An 18,253-nucleotide genomic window follows, 5' to 3' on the forward strand; every position below is an offset into this window, starting at 1 on the left:
TTTTATTCTCTTTCCTCATCTTCCTTCTCCTTTTACCCTTTGTTGAATAATGAAAATAACCTATAGACTTATTCAAAGAAAATCCAGTGACCCTCTCTGGCCCCCTCCCTGTCCCACTCCATAGAGATAACCACCATCGAGGTTTCTAGAACTGTTTCACAAACACAAAAACATATGTAAAAATATATAGCTTCTTCTTAAAAAAACTGATGTGTAGCAAGAAGGGAGATGGGGTTCTATACACAATGTTTTGAACCTTCACTTGCTTCATTTGACAATACACAAAGAGACTTTTCCACATCAACACAGTTAGATGTACACCAGTTTTTTCAAGATCTGCACGGTACTCCAATGGACAGATGTGCCATGATTTATTTACTCAGTCCCTGATTGATGGATATTTTAAGTTTCTTCTATTCTTTGTTGCTACAAACAATGTAGCAATGAACACTCTTGTAAAGACATATTTGAACACATGGAGGGGAACAACACACACTGGGGTCTGTCAGGGGGTGGGGGGCAAGGGGAGGGAGAGCATTAGGACAAATACCTAATGCATACGGGGCTTAAAACCTAGATGACGGGTTGATAGGTGCAGCAAAACCAGCATGGCACATGTATACCTATGTAACAAACCTGCACATTCTGCACATGTATCCCAGAACTTAAAGTAAAAAAATATATATATTTATATAATTTTTTAAATAAATAAGTATATAATATATATTTAAATATATAAAATATATAATATATATAAAATAAATAAAATATATATTTTAAAGACATATTTGGGTACATTTGTGAGTATATGTGTAGGATAAATTAGTTTTGGTGGAATTTCTTGGTGAAAAATGTATGCACATTTACAATTTTTATAGACATTGCATAATTGTCCCCCAGAGATGTTTGTCTAGCACGCTTTCATCATTAAAATGTTCTGTAGGCATAGCTTATCATCAGGGGCCTAGGAACAGGTTTGGGCACTGAAAAGCATATATTAGCTTCCTAACACAAAGGGAAACTGCAAATTTGAGATCAACATATATTTCATCAAATATCTCTACAATGTATTACTTGTAATGTTATTATTCCTAAAAAGTTCATTATATTTAAAAACAATTTGTAGGCTATATATTTTACTCATGTTGCAGGAATTCACAAGTATGTGAATTCTTGTTGATAAATGGCCTATCATAAATCAAATAGCCTATTATAAATTCAATAGCCCATTATAAGAATTACTTATAGCCAAGACATTTCAAAAGAAAAATTATTTTAAAAACCCTTTTGATATTTCAATATCAGCAAAAATTACACTTACTATGAATGCATGTGTAGTTTAATATATTTTGTATACTATAGGGTATGGCTTCCAAAAGTAAGACTGCCTGAGACCTGTGAAGTTTTTTTTTTTTCTTCTTCTTCTTGTATTGTTATTATTATTTTTTTTATTTATTTTTTTTATTGATCATTCTTAGGTGTTTCTCGCAGAGGGGGATTAGGCAGGGTCATAGGACAATAGTGGAGGGAAGGTCAGCAGATAAACAAGTGAACAAAGGTCTCTGGTTTTCCTAGGCAGAGGACCCTGGGGCCTTCCGCAGTGTTTGTGTCCCTGGGTACTTGAGATTAGGGAGTGGTGATGACTCTTAAGGAGCATGCTGCCTTCAAGCATCTGTTTAACAAAGCACATCTCGCACAGCCCTTAATCCATTTAACCCTGAGTGGACACAGCACATGTTTCAGAGAGCACCGGGTTGGGGGTAAGGTCATAGATCAACAGCATCCCAAGGCGGAAGAATTTTTCTTAGTACAGAACAAAATGGAGTCTCCTATGTCTACTTCTTTCTACACAGACACAGCAACAATCTGATTTCTCTATCTTTTCCCCACATTTCCCCCTTTTCTATTCGACACAACCGCCATCATCATCATGGCCCGTTCTCAATGAGCTGATGGGAACACCTCCCAGACGGGGTGGCGGCTGGGCAGAGGGGCTCCTCACTTCCCAGAAGGGGCGGCTGGGCAGAGGTGGCCCCCACCTCCCGGACGGGGCGGCGGCCGGGCGGAGGCTGACCCCCCACCTCCCTCCCTGACGGGGCAGCTGGCCGGGCGGGGGCTGACTCCCCGCCTCCCTCCCGGACGGGGCGGCTGGCCAGGCAGGGGCTGACTCCCCGCCTCCCTCCCGGACGTGTGAAGGTTTTTAAATAGCCTTAATTGTACAACTATGTAGGAACTTGCCTGTATCCTTATATTCTCATCAACTTGCATATTTTCAAAACTTTTTATTTATGCCAATATGATAAGCAACTCTTTTGCTTGTTTCTTAATTTCATATTTATTTAATTATGGCAGCTAAGAATCCTTTTGCATATTCATATGCCATTTTTCTCTTCTATTTTGGCTAAAGGAGAGCCAAGTTATTTTTTATTTGTTTGTTTGTTTGTTTTGGCAGGGGTCGGCTCTCAAGGAGGTGAAAATGTGGGTTTGATTTAGGTTATGCTGAGTTGCAATACCTCTGAGATACCTGGTGGAAAAGTAGAAGAACCACGGGAATACAGCAGAGAGGCAAGCTGTTTTGATAGGGTGTTTCCATTTGGATGAATCTTAGTTCCACATTGAGGGTCTAAGCTCAACAGACCCCTTCATGGTTTTGATTCATAATGTTTCACTCAGAGAGCTCAACTTGGATCCAGAGATTGGCACAGATTTAAGAAATTGCTGAATGATTTTCCTGCTGGGAGGAAGGGCCATTGGTTTAAACAGAAATACATACTCATTTTAACCATTAATTTCTGGCTCTAACTTTTTTCTTTTAATTTAAAAATAATATCAAACTTTCAGAAAAGTTGCAAAAACAGTACAAAGCATACCATTTTTATCAATCACCTAGTGCTAGTTATCGATTTCCGCATAAAAACCTACTCCAAAACTTGATGGCTTAAAACAAGCACCACTATAAGTATATATCATTATTTTCTGTGACAAGAATTTGGGCAGAGCTCAGTTTAGTGATTTACATTCAATGTGGTGTTCACAGAAGTCATAGAATAGTATCTGGCAAGTGGATGGATGGGTCTGGAGAATCCAAAAAAGCTTCTGGCACCTTGCTGAGGATGGCTGGAAGGCTGGGTCCAACGGGAACCATCAACAGGAACACCTACAGAAGACATCTTCAGTGCGGTGGTGTCAGGGAGTTGGATGTCTTATAGCAGTTCAAGGTTCCCAGACAGTGTTCCAAGAGGCCCAGATTGAAGGCATAAAGCTTCTCATGACAGTCCCGCAAGTTGCAAAGCATCAGTTCCCCCACACTCTGTTAGTCAAACAAATCACTAAAGCCAGCTCAGGCCAGGTGCGGTGGCTCACACCTGTAATCCCAGAACTTTGGGAGGCCCAGGCGGGCAGATCACATGAGGCCAGGAGTTCGAGACCAGCCTGACCAACATAGTGAAACCCCGTCTCTACTAAAAATACAAAAATTAGCCAGGTGTGGTGGCAGGTGCCTGTAGTCCCAGCTACTTGGGAGGCAGAGGCAGAAGAATCGCTTGAACCTGGGTGGCGGAGTTTGCACTGAACCAAGATCGTGCCACTGCACTCCAGCCTGGGCAACAGAGCGAGACACTGTCTCAAAAAAAAAAAAAAAGCCAGCTCAGATTTAAAGATGGGAAATTGGACTCCATCTTTCAATCAGAGGAGTAGCAAAAAACTAGTGACCACCTTTATTATACAACAACTGACCAAGTGTTAACATTTGCCACATTTGCTTTATCATTCTTCATCTGGACTCATTGAGAGTAGGTTGCATACATTATGCTCCTTTGCTTCTAGATACTTCCTTATATACATTCTAAAAATAATTCTTTTTTAATTTTATGTTCTTAATTGATAAATAACAATTGTACTTATTCATGGGGTACATAGTGGTGTTTTGGTACATATAATGTATAGTGATCAGATTGAGGTAATTAGCATTTGCACCATCTGAAATGTTTGTCATTTCTTAAAACAAAGACTTCTCTTACATATCCACAATATAGCAGGAATTTAACACTGATAACCACTGTTATCTAATCTATAGTGCATATTCCAATTTTACCAATCATCCAAATAATATCATTTATAGCAAATTTTTTTCTAGGCCAGGATCAAATCCAGCATCATGTATTGCATTTGATTGTCCAGTCTTTTTAGTATCCTTTAATCTGGAACAATTCCTCCTTCTTTTTCTTCTACAACCTTGATATTCTGAACAGTACAGTCAGGCCAATTGTTTTACAGAATGTCCCTCAATTTGGGCTTGTCGATACATCCACATTATTAGATTTAGATTATATACTTTTGGCCAGAATACCACAGAAGTGGTGTATTCTTGTCAGTGCATCGTACTAGAAAGCACATGATGCAGATGTGCTCCATGATGGTGATACTTTGATTCCTATGTTAAAGTGGTGCCTACCAAGTTTCTAGTTTTCCTTTTCAAATTAATGATTATGTTTGTGGAGAGCTTTGTTGGGACTGCAAATATCTTGATCCTCATCAAACTTTCACCCACATGTTTTAGCATTTCTTGATAATTATGGCCTGTATCTATTACTAGACTGGTAGCAAACTGGTGATTTCCTAATAGTGTTATTTGTTCTGCATTTATTAGTTGGCATTCTATAGTAAGGAAGAGCTGTTCTTTATGTATGTATGTATGCATTTGTACAAACATGAATTCTTACTATATTTAGTTGCTTATAATCTATTACTGCTTTATATTTGGATGCTTAATGCCTTCAGGTGTGTCTTGCGTACTTTTGATATGTTCCCATTATTTCTTACTCTCTGTTATAGCATCATGTTCCAGACTTATCTTACACTTTTCCTGCCCTAGTCCTTGAATCAACCATTTCTTCAAGAATTCCTGGTTCTCTTGAGCAGAAGAAAATGTTTTTCAGAAACCAAGAATTGAGTGTTAGAGCATGCTCATTGCCACTAGAATGTCAGCACTTTGGGCCTTTGTCTGGACAAAGCCAGAAATACTAATCATCTCTAATTCCAAGACCCCTCTGGAAGGTCATGCTTGCCTTGCTGGTTTTGTAGTTATATCTCCTTACTTCCACAGTAAGAACTCTGGTTACCAACAACATTAGCCTATTCGCTTATTTGTTCAGACCTGGAAATCATAGAAAATAGTTTCAGAATTCTTACACTTCTACAGGAAACCAGATCTATTAAGTTGAATATAAGATTTATTTATTTATCTATGCACTTCTTTTTGTTGATAAACTGAAGGTTTATAGTCAAAATACTGTGCTGAAAAATTACTTAAATTCATTTTTTTTTCCTCTTCACTGCGGATATTCTTTTGAGATACAGTTGGGCTCATTTATCTGTTTGTATTCCGTTTTAGTCTTCCCCCAGTTACTTTAGATTAGTTTGAATATGCAAAACGCTAGCACACTTCCAATATCCAAAACTATGCAAAAGATTAAACTCAGTGAAATGTTATTCCTTCTCCCCATCCTTTTCTCTTCCTTCCTGCCCACCTGTCTAAGCAACAGACTTCAGTGGTTTCTAGTTTTCATTCCTGTGTTGCATTTTTAAACAATGAACAGATACGTGTGTATTTTCTTATTTACTCTTTTTCTTACATGAAAGGTAGCATATTCTTTTGTACTTTGCTTTTTTCTCTTGACAGTATATCATGGAACTCCCCCATATAAGTTCATAAAGGTCTTTTTTGTTTGTTTGTTTGTTTAGAGATGATCTCGCTGTCATGTCACCCAGGCTGGAGGGGAGTTGTGTGATCACAGCTCACTGTAGTCTTGAACTCCTGGGCTCAAGCAATCTTCCTGCTTCAGCCTCCTGAGTAGCTGGGACTACAGGCACATGCCACCATCCCTGGCTAATTAAAAAATATTTTTTGTAGAGACAGGGTCTCACCATGTTGCCCAGGCTGGTCTCAAACTCCTGGCCTCAAGTGATCCTCCCACTTCAGCCTCCCAAAGTGCTGGGATTACAGACATAAGCTACCACACTCAGCCATGAATTCAAGATCTTCTGCATTTTTTCTTTACAGCTGCAGAATGCTCTATTGTGTGAATGCATCACAGTTTATTCAACCAATTTCTTTTTTTTTTTTTTTTTTTTTTTGGAGACAGAGTCTCACTCAGTCACCCAGGCTGGAGTGCAGTGGCACGATCTCGGCTCACTGCAAACTCCACCTCCCAGGTTCACGCCATTCTCCTGCCTCAGCCTCCCGAGCAGCTGGGACTACAGGAGCCCGCCACCAGGCCTGGCTAATTTTTTTTGTATTTTTAGTAGAGATGGGGTTTCACCATGTTAGCCAGGATGGTCTTGATCTCCTGACCTCGTGATCCGCCCGTCTCGGCCTCCCAAAGTGCTGGGATTACAGGCATGTCTTAGCATTTTGGTGGTGTCTCATAATGTATAATACAAAATAATGCTGCAATAAATAACCTCGTGCAGATGTATTTTCATATTATTTGAGGTATATCTTCAGGGTAAATTCTAAAAGAAGGATTATCTGGATCAAAGGGTAAATGCTTATGAAATTTTGTTAGATGTCAATTTCTCCTCATGTGGTAGTACTACTCTGCATTCCCACCAGCAGCAATGTATGAAACTAATGGTCCTAACTTTTCAACTCTCATTCTTATTTAAAATAATTTTGAAGCCAGGCACAGTGGCTCACGCCTGTAATCTCAGCACTTTGGGTGGCCGAGGCAGGTGGATCAACTGAGGTCAAGAGTTCAAGGCCAGTCTGGCCAACATGGTGAAACCCCGTCTTTACTAAAAATACAAAAAATTAGCCAAGCATGGTGGCAGGCACCTGTAATTCCAGCTACTTGGGAGGCTGAGGCAGGAGAATCACTTGAACCCGGGAGGCAGAGGTTGCAGAGACCCTGAGATCACACCACTGCACTCCAGCCTGGGCAACAAGAGTGAAACTCCATCTCCAAAACGAAACAAAAAATAAAATAATTTTGACAAGTTTTCTTTTTCTTTTTTATGTTTTGTAGAGACAGAGTCTTGCTCTGTCACCCAGGCTGGAGTACGGTGGTACAATCATAGCTCACTGTAGCCTCAAACTCCTGGGCTCAAGTGAGCCTCCTGCCTCAGCCTCCTACAGCACTGGGATTGCAGGTGTGAGCCACTGTGCCTGGCCAACAAGTTTTCTTTTTTTTTTTCCTTTTTTTCTTTCGAGACAGGATTTCTCCCTGTTGCCCAGGCTGGAGTGCAGTGGTGCACGAGCACAGCTTACTTCAGCCTCAACTTCCCAGGCTTAGGTGATTCTCCCACCCCAGCCTCCTGAGTAGTCGAGACTACATATGCACACCACCACACCTAATTTTTCTTTTATTGTTTTTTAGAATTTTAGTAGAGATGAGGTTTCGCCGTATTACCCAGGCAATCACGTTTTCTTTATAGCCAAATTCTGTTTGTATATAGGCAGGAAAACCTATTCACTTGGGATTCAACAGAACTGAGAAAAGGAGCTAATTCAGGGACTAGGAAACTCATTCATTCATGGAGGACCTTTATGTCAAGTCAAGAAGTCTGTATTTTATTCAATGGGAAGTCAGTCAAGGACTGTGCTGAAAAATTACTTAAGTTCATTCTTTTTTTCCCCTTCACTGCAGATATTCTTTTGAGATACAGTTGGCTTCATTTATCTGTTTGTATTTTGTTTAAGTCTTCCCCCAATTACAAGGCAGTACTATGGCTAGATTATGTATTAGCAAGATTATGATAATGATTAGGAATCATTTTGACTGCAAACAATGGACTACTGTCAATGGCTCAAGTAGAGAAAAGTGTGTAATTATCTATTTTATAACAAGAAGCTACAGTAACGAAAATACTTCTTCAATGGCCTCCTAATTTTGCTCCTGTCCTCGTCCCCCTATTTTCAATATCCCAGTGGAGGGAATAGTCATACTGGTCTCTTTGCTGCTCTTGAACACAATATGCAATTCCCTATTTAGGGCCTTTGCACTAGGTGCCTGGGAATTTCTTCCCTCGGCTACATGCATGGCTCACTCGCTTACCTCCTTGGGACTTTGCTCCAATCTCACCATTTCCATGAAGCCCCAGTACTTGCAATCACCTTCCCTTTTTTCTGTCCTTTTTTTTCCTATATATTCATCACCCTCTAATATATTATATATTTTCTATGTGTGCTGTTTATTGTCTGACTTCCACCTCTCCACCCCTAACCCCCATCTAAAAACCACAAGGTTAAAAGTCATTGCTGTTCTTTGATATATCTTTAATGCCAGAAACAGTGCTTGGCACACAGTAGTGCTTAATAAATGTTTGTTGAATATATGAATGTAGTCATGGGGTCGTGGTTCCCAGTTGGTTTAGTGACTCAACAACATTAGAACACTGGGCTGGCATCTCTATGATTCTCTTAATATTGTCTTCATGATTGAGAGGTGTCTACAGCTTCAAGCATCATTTTCTTACATGGTAATGTCTGAAGCTAGAAGGAAGAAACAAAAATAAGTGGAATTTTCTCCTCTGCTCAAGATGGACCTTCTATCAAGGGAGAAAAATCTTCCCCAGAGAGTCCCAGTAGACTTCCCCTTAAGTTTCATTAACCAGAATTAGTTCTCTTGCCTACTCCTAAATGAATCACTGGTAAAATAAAATGTGGTTGCCAGGAAGGACTGAAACCTATCAGGATTCATCTCCTCAGGCTGAATATATTGCTACTGGACCAAATTTAAAACTATTTTTCTGTTGATGTAAAAGGGATGGGGAAGGTTTTCGGCATGCAATCAATAGTGATTGCCACATCACCATGGGTGTTATTTTGAGAACATGGTGGGGAAAGGAGTGAGGCGAGGGAGAGGAGACTCAACTGCCAAAGTCCAGGGGAGAAATAATAAAAGCCAGAAATCAGATACAAGTTGATTTCATGTTGCCCATGAAATCAACTTTTCACAGGTCACTTTGGCTCTAGGAGAAAGGAAATGAGCCTGTCTATAATGCTGCTCAGAGAATTTTTCCAGATTTACTTCTAATCAATGATTTTGGCCAGTGGCATGCTTTTCTTTAATTGGCAATTACATATTTCTTTTAACTCTACAGGAAGCTCAGATCCTTTTAATAGATGGCATTGTAATTGCAGTTTTCCTCATAAATCACTTTATTTTTGGGGAGAATGAGCAACTATGTCAAGACATAAGATAATTCAATGAAAAAGATAAAATGCTTGACTACCACACAGGTAATAGCTAACGAGTCTCAAGTGGCAGTAGATTGGGCGGTGTGGAGTGGGTAACTTTCAGTCGTGTGGTGGAATATATTCCTGGTTATTAATTCCCCAGGAGCTTGAGGCCAGCCGTCCTCACTGATGGCTTGAACTGGTTTCCTCTCAATAGGGCTCATGCTTTTCATTCTAGTCGTGGGGTGTAACAGCAGCAATCAGGACTTTAGAGTCAGTTAGACCTGTATTTAAATTCCAGCTCTGTTATTTACTGCTGTGTGATGCTGAGCTGTTAAATGAGGGTAAGAAATCCTCTCCCCAAAAGATATTATGCGCCTTGGCTGAAATAATGAATGATGAAAGCCAGGCTAACGGGCACCCTGTAAACATGAGTTCCTTTCTCTCTCTCTGTGGCTTCCATGGCTTTAATTTTGTGCCCTGGCAAAGCCCTATTTGTCTGTCTTCTCAGCCCCAAAGTGGTCTCAGCCTAATACATCATCAACCAGCTATGAGGATTAGACCACCAGAGGAATGAGAGCCAAAAGGAATAATAATTTTTCCAACTCTATACCCAGTATTTCTTTCAAGATCCTAGGAGCACTGACCCACCTGCTTCCCTCTTTGTAAAGAAAAAATAAATAAATGTTTTTGAACAGCCACCCAGTGTCCTGACTCTGTATTGGATTTTTTTAGGTGATTCAAAGAAGTATATGATATGGCCCCTGCTTTCAAGGAGCTTAAAATGCTCTGAAGGAACCTAAATAAGCACAATGCAAAGTAGACAAAACTGGGTTTAAATCCAACCTCTGCCACTTACTAGCTCTGTGGCCTCCTACATCGTTAGGCTGTCATGAGGTTTAAAATTGCACTACATGTAAGGGACCTGGTGCAGAGTAGGCATTTGAAAAAAATCTGAATTCCATCATCCTCAAACCATATATTAGTTAAATAATAAAGCAGAAGATCTATTACAAGATAGCTTATAATTCATTACCAAGTGAAACGCCCTGAAATAAAGGCTCTTGGGGTCCAGTGAAGGCCAGGGCCATTCAGACTGAGGTAGGTGTGGCAAATTCCTGGAAAAAGAAGAAAAGTGACTGGCATTTCAGGATGGGCTCATTTTCTCAGATGAATCATGAGAGCCTTGGCCTTAAGCTCTTGCTCTGCACTATTGGTAAGAAATAAAGACTTGAGTACCCAACTGGTACACTGAAGACTGAGAAAGTAATTCAGGTATCCTCTCCGTGCTTAGACCACTGATACTGTTTGCCCTCAAACTGTGTTTTTACCATCCACCTGCCTCAATGGCCTTCTAGCCTATTATGAATGAAGCATCCCACCTCCTGCAGTATGAGTAACCAGAGTTCACCGGGCAATCAAAAACCAAGTGGAGGACAGAGATATGCCTGGGATAAAGGAGATGTGAATGGACAGAGATGCGTTCACCTCGAGACTCCTGAGAAAGTATTGCTTTTAACAAAAATATACAGGGAAATTTACCTGCAGAAGAGGCTTTTAGTAACAATGATCAGGCTGGGCACAAGGGCTCACACCTGTAATCCCAGCAATTTGGGAGGCCAAGGCAGGTGGATCACCTGAGGTCAGGAGTTCAAGACCAGCCTGGGCAACATGGCAAAATCCCATCTCTACAAAAAATACAAAAATTAGCCAGGTGTGGTGGTGCACACCTGTAATCCCAGCTACTCGGGAGGCTGGGGCAGGAGAATCACTTGAACCTGGGAGGCAGAGGTTTCAGTGAGCCAAGATTGTGACATTGTACTCCAGCCTAGGCAATAGAGTGAGACTCCATCTTAAAAAAAAAAAAAAAAATTAGCTGTGGTAAATTATATTGTTGTTCCCAATTATCAGGTCTCTCTTCTGTAAGAAATATTAAGTGCCTAATGTAAGTTTATTTGGCATCATCCTCTTGTCTCTACCATGAGAACAGCACATCTCAGATGATTCTACTATCAGCCTGGGTCTCAGAATGAGAAAGCTTGGTGCTCAAGGTGAGCCAAGCAGAGCTGAGCCACGACAGACAGAGTTAAGCAGACCAATAGACTGGCAGATCCAGGAGCTAGAAATGTTATTGCAAGCCACTGAGACGTGGAGGTTGTTTGTTGCCACAGCAAAAGCTGACTAATACAACAACACTAATTAAACACTTGCTCTGTGCTGGCATTGTCCTAAGCACTTAACATGTGTCCTCTCATTAATCCTCGCATTAATCATGTAATGTAGTGTTTCAGCCAGGGCTCTCCAGTGTAAATACCAGAAAACTACTCTGGCTGTGTGCAAAAAGACTTCTGTTTCCAGCCACATAGAACAACGAAATCCGGATGTGCTTTCCCATCTGAAAGAACTAAAAAGGCAGAAAAAAACATATGAAACAATGGTTCTCAAGATATTAGACAATAGGCAATATAGGAGACTGATTTCTGAGAGATGAGAAACAAACATAATGAACACTGCAATTGACCCAGCTTACTACCTGGATAGAGTTTCCAGGCCATGGTGCAAAACAGAAGAGGCCAGACAGAGCTTGGCAGTCTCCTTGATTTGGGAATATGGAGCTGAGAGAAGGGAGGCCAAGGGGACTAAGATTTGTGGGGCAGAATTCTAGAAAGGAAAAAGCTATATAGAGAGGAACATTGAGATTTACATAGAGTTCCCCCTTGAGGATTCAGCTGAGTACAGATCAGCACATGCATGAGAGGAAACTATTCAAGACCTGGAAAAAAACAACCAAAAAGAGGGAACAATTAGTAGAGCTCACACAGGACTCAGAATAGTGCCTAGTCTTACCAGGCAGAGTGGACTTTGGGTGGAATACTCAGAAGGAATTTTTTTTTTTTTTTTTTTGAGACAGAGTCTCATTCTGTTGCCCAGGCTGGAGTGCAGTGGCACGATTCTGGCTCGATCACTGCAGCCTCCACCTCCCAGGCTCAGGTAATCCTCCCACCTCAGCCACCCAAGTAACTGGAGCGACAGGCACACCATGCTTGGCTAAGTTTTTAATTTTTTGTGGAGATGGGGGTCTCACTATGTTGCCAGAATTGGTCTGGAACTCCTGGGCTCAAGCGATCCTTCCACCTCGACTTCCCACAGTGCTGAGATTAAAGGTGAGAGCCACTGAGTTCAGTCCCTCAGAGGGATCTTGCTCCATAGTGGGAAAAAACTAGCAGCCATACAAAGAAGCAGGTATATACAATCCTAAATTTGGAGAAAAATCCGTCACTTGAAACTGACCTAAAAATGACACGGATAATAGAATTAGTAGACAAAGACATTTTAAAAAGTATTATGACTCTATTTTATGTGTTCAAGAAGCTAGAGGAAAAACTAACCATGTTAAGTTAAAGGTATAGATGATATAATAAAGTCCCAAGTTGAATTTTTAGAGATACAACTACAAGGTCTGAGATAAAAAATATGCTGAAAGAGATTAATAGCAGATTCGACATTGCGGAAAGGAGTGGTGAACTTGAAGACGTAAAAATAGAAGCTACTGAAAATTAAGCACACAGAGAAAAAGGATGAAAAAATGTTTAGAATAACAGGACAACTTTAGGCAGCCTATGTATGTGTAATGGAGTCTTTGAAGAAAATGAAGGGGGAAGAAAAATATTTGAAAAAATAATCGCTAAAAATTTTCCCAATGTGATAAAAACTGTAAACCAACAGATCCAAAAGCTAAACGAAACCCAAGTACAAGAAACATAAGGAAGACTACAAGGAGACACATCGTAATTCCCTTTACTAAAACCACTGATGAAGAAAAAATGTTAAAAGTAGCCTGGAGGAAGGGAAGACATATTACAAAAAAACAAAGATGAGAATGGCCTTCGATTGTTCGTCAGAAACAATGTAAGCTAAAGGACAACGAAGCAACATCTTTAAAGTGCTGAAAGAAGAAAGAAAATTAATCAGTCCAAAATTCTTTACTAAGGGAAAATATCACTCAAAAATCAAGGCAAAATAAGACCTTTCCATACATGCAAAAGCTGAAAGAATTTATTACAATCAGACCTGCACAATAAGAAATGCTAAAAGGAAATCCTCTAGGCAGAAGGCAAATTATACCAGATGGCAATATGAATCTATACACTGGAATGAAAAGTATTTGAAATGGCAACTATGTGGGTAAACACAACAACTTTAAAATATTTAAATCTCTTTAAAAGATAACAATTTGGGGCAAAAATAACAGTATATTAAGGGGTTTATAACATATGTAGGAGTAAAATGTATGACAACTATACATAAAAGTCAAGGGTAAAAATGGAAATAAAATTTTTGTAAAGTTCTTATACTATACATGAAATGGTATATTACTTGAAGGTAGACAATGACAAGTTAATATGTATCCTGTTAATATAACCTCTAAAGCAACCACCAAAATAACACAGTAACTTATAGCCATGAACCAACAAAGGAAATAAAATGGATTTATAAAAAATAATCGAAAAGAAGGCAGAAAAAAAGAGAGGAAAAAGCAGCAAAGAACAAATGGAGAAAATACAAAACAAATAGCAAGATGTTAGATTTAAACCCAACCATATCAATAATCACATTAAATATAATAGTCTAAATATCGCAATCAAAAGGCAGAGATCACCCAATCAGATAACAAAATCAAATCACAACTATATGCTGTCTATAAGAAAACCTTTTGAAATATAATGACACATATGTGTTAAAAGCAAAAAGATGGGAAAAGATATATCATGTTAATGCTAATTTTTAAGAGTCTAGCATAGTTATATTAATATCAAACAGGGTAGATTTCAAAGTGGTATTAGCAAGCTTAAACAGGGTCATTTCATAAAGGGACATAACAAACCAAAAATGTATGCATGTAAAACAAAGCTTCAAATACCTGAAACAAAAATGGATAGAACTACAAGGAGTAGCAGACAATCCATAAGTACATTCATATATTTCAATATCCTTCTCTCAGTAATGGACAGAACAGGTAGACAGAAAGTCAGTAAGGATATAGAAGACTTGAATAACACAACCAACATGACTTCATTGCCATTTCCAAAGCACTCCTCCCACCAATGGCAGAATACACATTCATTCCAGAGCACCTGAAACATTTATAAAGATCATCTGTATTTTGAGCTGAAAATACATTTAAATAAATTTAAAGCTATTCAAATCATACAAAGAGGGTGCTCGGATCACAATAGAACCAAATTAGCAATCAATTCCAGAATGCTGTCTAAAAATATCCAAATGTTTGCAAAAAAAACACAATTCTAAGTAACTTATGAGTCAAAGAAGATTTTTTTAAAATTACATAGTATTCTGAATTTGAAGAAAATACAAACACAATATAGCAAAATATGTGAGAGGTATCTGAAACAGTACTTAGAAGGAAATGTATAGCCCTAAATGCCTATACTAGACAAGAAAAATGGTCTTAAATAAATGATCTCAGTTTTCACCTGAAGAAGATAGAAAAAGAAGAGCAGATGGATCCCATCATAGGCAGCATAAAGGAAATACTAAAGATCAGAGTGAAAAAAATCAATAAAATAGAAACCAGAAAAATACAGAGAAAATAAATAATACCAAAAGCTGTTTCTTTGAGAAGATCGGTAAGTTGCTAATGAGACTGAACAGACAAAAAAGAGTGAGAATGAGAGCTGGGTGTTTGGGGCAGATCCAGAGAGAGACACAAATTAACAATATCAGAAATGAGAGAGGTGACATCATTATAGATTCTGCAGGTATTTAAAAGATTATAAAGAAATAGTATGGACAACTTAATGTCAATATATCCTACAATTAGATGAAATGGACAGATTTCTTGAAAGGTGTTAAATACTACAATTTCCTAAAAAGGAGATTACCAGAAGAGCTCTGTATCTATTAAAGAAATTGAATTTCCACTTAAAAACCTCTCCACAAAGAAAACTCCAAGCCCATATTACCTCACTGGTAAATTTATTCTATGACACACTTAAGGAGTAAATAACTCCAATTCTATACAAATTGTTTCAGAAAATAGAAGAAAAACCAACGCACCTTAACTAATTCCTTAAGGTCAGTATTAGTTCGATGCCACAGCCAGACAAAGATGTCACAAGAAAAGTCAAATACAGACCAATATCCCTTATGAACATGGATTCAAATTGAATCCAACAATATATTGAAAAGACAAATATATTATGACTAAGTGAGATTTAGCTCAGGAATGCAAAGCTAGTTTCACATTCAAAATTCAATTAATGCAATTTTCTATATGAACAGACTCAAATCGAAAGGAAATTGGGAAACTCACAGCGTGGACTGGGAAGGATGGAAAGCCAGATCTAGAAAAAAAAAAAAAAAAAAAACAGACAAGAACAACAACAACAACAACAAATTCAAGGCAGCAGAACCATGGAGGAAATCTTGCCTCAAACCCAATCTCATGAGGACCACTACTGCCACTCCCAGCACTGATCACTGGATATAGAGGTGACCACCAAAGCTAACATTGCCCATGGGGTCTTCTGCCAACCCTGCCTCCAACAGAATAAATTCTCCATCCTTGCTTTTTTGAATGGCTGGTCCCAGCTTCAAAAACCTAAGAGGGAAGTTTTGATTGGCCAAAATGTCAGGAAGGCTGGAATAGTAAGGAACCAACAAGGGGTCTTTGTTGCTAACAATATAATTCACTTTAACTAGTACATTCAGATAGAGACTTAGTTTAAAAGATTGACTAGCTCACGGAATCATTGTGATTGTCAAGACGTAGGTTCTGAACTGAGTTTTCAGGAATATACCTGTCATTATGCTGCAGAACTGACGCGGTAAGGGAGCTTCTGCCATAGCCAAGAGTAGGAACCTGCTACTCCTACCACTGACCCCAAACAAGAGTTGCTTCTTCCTCACACCAGCCAGAATGGATGCTCTAGGCCTAGAGAGTTTCTTCAAGTAGTTCGCTTCTGAGTCAGATCAGTGTGTCCGTTTGCAGAATCCAGATGACATCTGCATCGGTTACTGGAAAGGAGTCCTGATCCAGACTCCAAAAGAGGGTTCTTGGATCTTGGGCAAGAAAGAATTTGGGGCAAGTCCATAAAGTATAGTGAAATCAAGTTTATTAGAGAAGTAAAGAAACAAAAGAATGACTACTTCATAGGCAGAGCAGCCCTGAGGGCTGCTGGTTGACTATTTTTATGGCTATTTCTTGATCATATGCTAAACAAGGAGTGGATTATTCATGAGTTTTTTGGGAAAGGGGTGGGGATTTCCTGGAACTGTGGGTTCCTCTCCTTCTTAGACCATATAGGGTAACTTCTGGACATTGTCATGGCATTTGTAAACTGTCGTAGCACTTATGGGAGTGACTTTTAGCATGCTAATGCATTATAATCAGTGTATAATGAGCAGCGAGGATGACCAGAGGTCACTTTCATCACCATCTTAGATTTGGTGGGTTTTGGCCAGCTTCTTTACTGCATCCTGTTTTATCAACTGGGTCTTTGTGACATGTATCTTGTGTCAACCTCCTATCTCATCCTGTGTCTAAACATGCCTAACCTCCTGGAAATGCAGCCCCACAGATCTCATTCTCATTTTACCCAGCCCCTATCTAAGATGGAGTTGCTCTGGTTCAAATGCCCCTGACACATCCAGTGGCAAGGGAGGCTAGGAAATGAAAGAGTTTTGTTTATCTGAATTTACCAAAAACAAATTGTGAAGAGGGTTTTCAAAAGATTTTGAGCATCATGTCATGACTGAATGCTGGGCTTTTTGGCCATTACTGCGAAGTGACTCTGCTTCCTACCTAGAGTAATACGGTGGGGAATTCCCCAGCTTAGGCAGGGGAATTCAGCTGCTCAAGGTCCAAAAGTAACAAATGCCAATAGAGGAAAGTACTCTTATTAGTTCCATTTTACAAATTGGAAACTGAAATTTCCTAGACATTTAGTAACTTGTGTAAGACCACAGCCCAAAGAACAAACATTTGCCAAGCCCTCATATACATAACCTCCTTTCATCTTTACAATTTTATGTGGTAAATGTTATTGCCCCCATTTCATATAAGAGAAAAATGAGGATTATAGAAATCAATTAAAAGCTAAAGATTCTGTGGTACGTGCAACCCTGCCATGATCTGCCATGCCCATCTTGAAGCTTCCTCCCAGGGTACCAAGTCATTTTATAGCAGAACTCTCCAGGCCTCCGTGCGTGTGTGTGTATGTCCTTAATATCTTGTCCTACACAAAATTCGATGACCACTGGATATATTTGGATATCTGTCACTGAGCCTCACCTGTCTTCTTTCCTACTGCAGACTAACTCAGGTCTTTTCCAGAGTCCTCCTGGGAGGCTGAGACTTCTGGGCCCCACTAGGTCTAATTATCTAAGAAGTAAAGGGGAATGGGGCAGGGAATGGAATGGCCTGGAATCTGAAGCCCTGTCAGTATGCAAATCACTTACTTGCATGCAAATCATTCCAAGGAAATGGAGCTGGGTATCCCTTGGTCAAACATTTTTGTCTCCTGTGAATGATGCAAATTACTTTTGGTACCTACAGCCCTCCCTGTTTTGTGGCTAGATTGAAAAATTTTTAGCCCTGCATTTGAATAGGCTGACCCATGCTAGACAGTGATGAAGAGGACAAGACACAATGATTCCACTCCTATGAAAAGACCCAAGAAAACATTAGCACAGATCCACCAGGGAACCTGTTCAGAAATGTTCATAGCAGCACTGTTTATAGTAGCTCCAAAATAAAACCAATCTGAACACCTATGGAAGGAGAATGGAAAAATTAATTGTGTATGTTCACCCAATGAACTATTATAGAGCCATGAAAATGAATGAGATACTGTTACATGCATCAACATGGATGAATCTTGTTAAGTCCAATGGCAATTCCTAGAAAATGATATATAGTATAGTACCTTTTAATAAAGTTCAAAAAGCAAGTAAAGCTAAATAAATTCATGTTACATGTATTTTTAAATCCAAGGAAATGATAAACCATAAAAATCAGGATAGTGGCCAGGCGCAGTGGCTCACGCCTGTAAT

This window comes from Homo sapiens, chromosome 3 (assembly GCF_000001405.40).
Source record: "Homo sapiens chromosome 3, GRCh38.p14 Primary Assembly".
Classification (NCBI taxonomy): domain Eukaryota; kingdom Metazoa; phylum Chordata; class Mammalia; order Primates; family Hominidae; genus Homo; species Homo sapiens.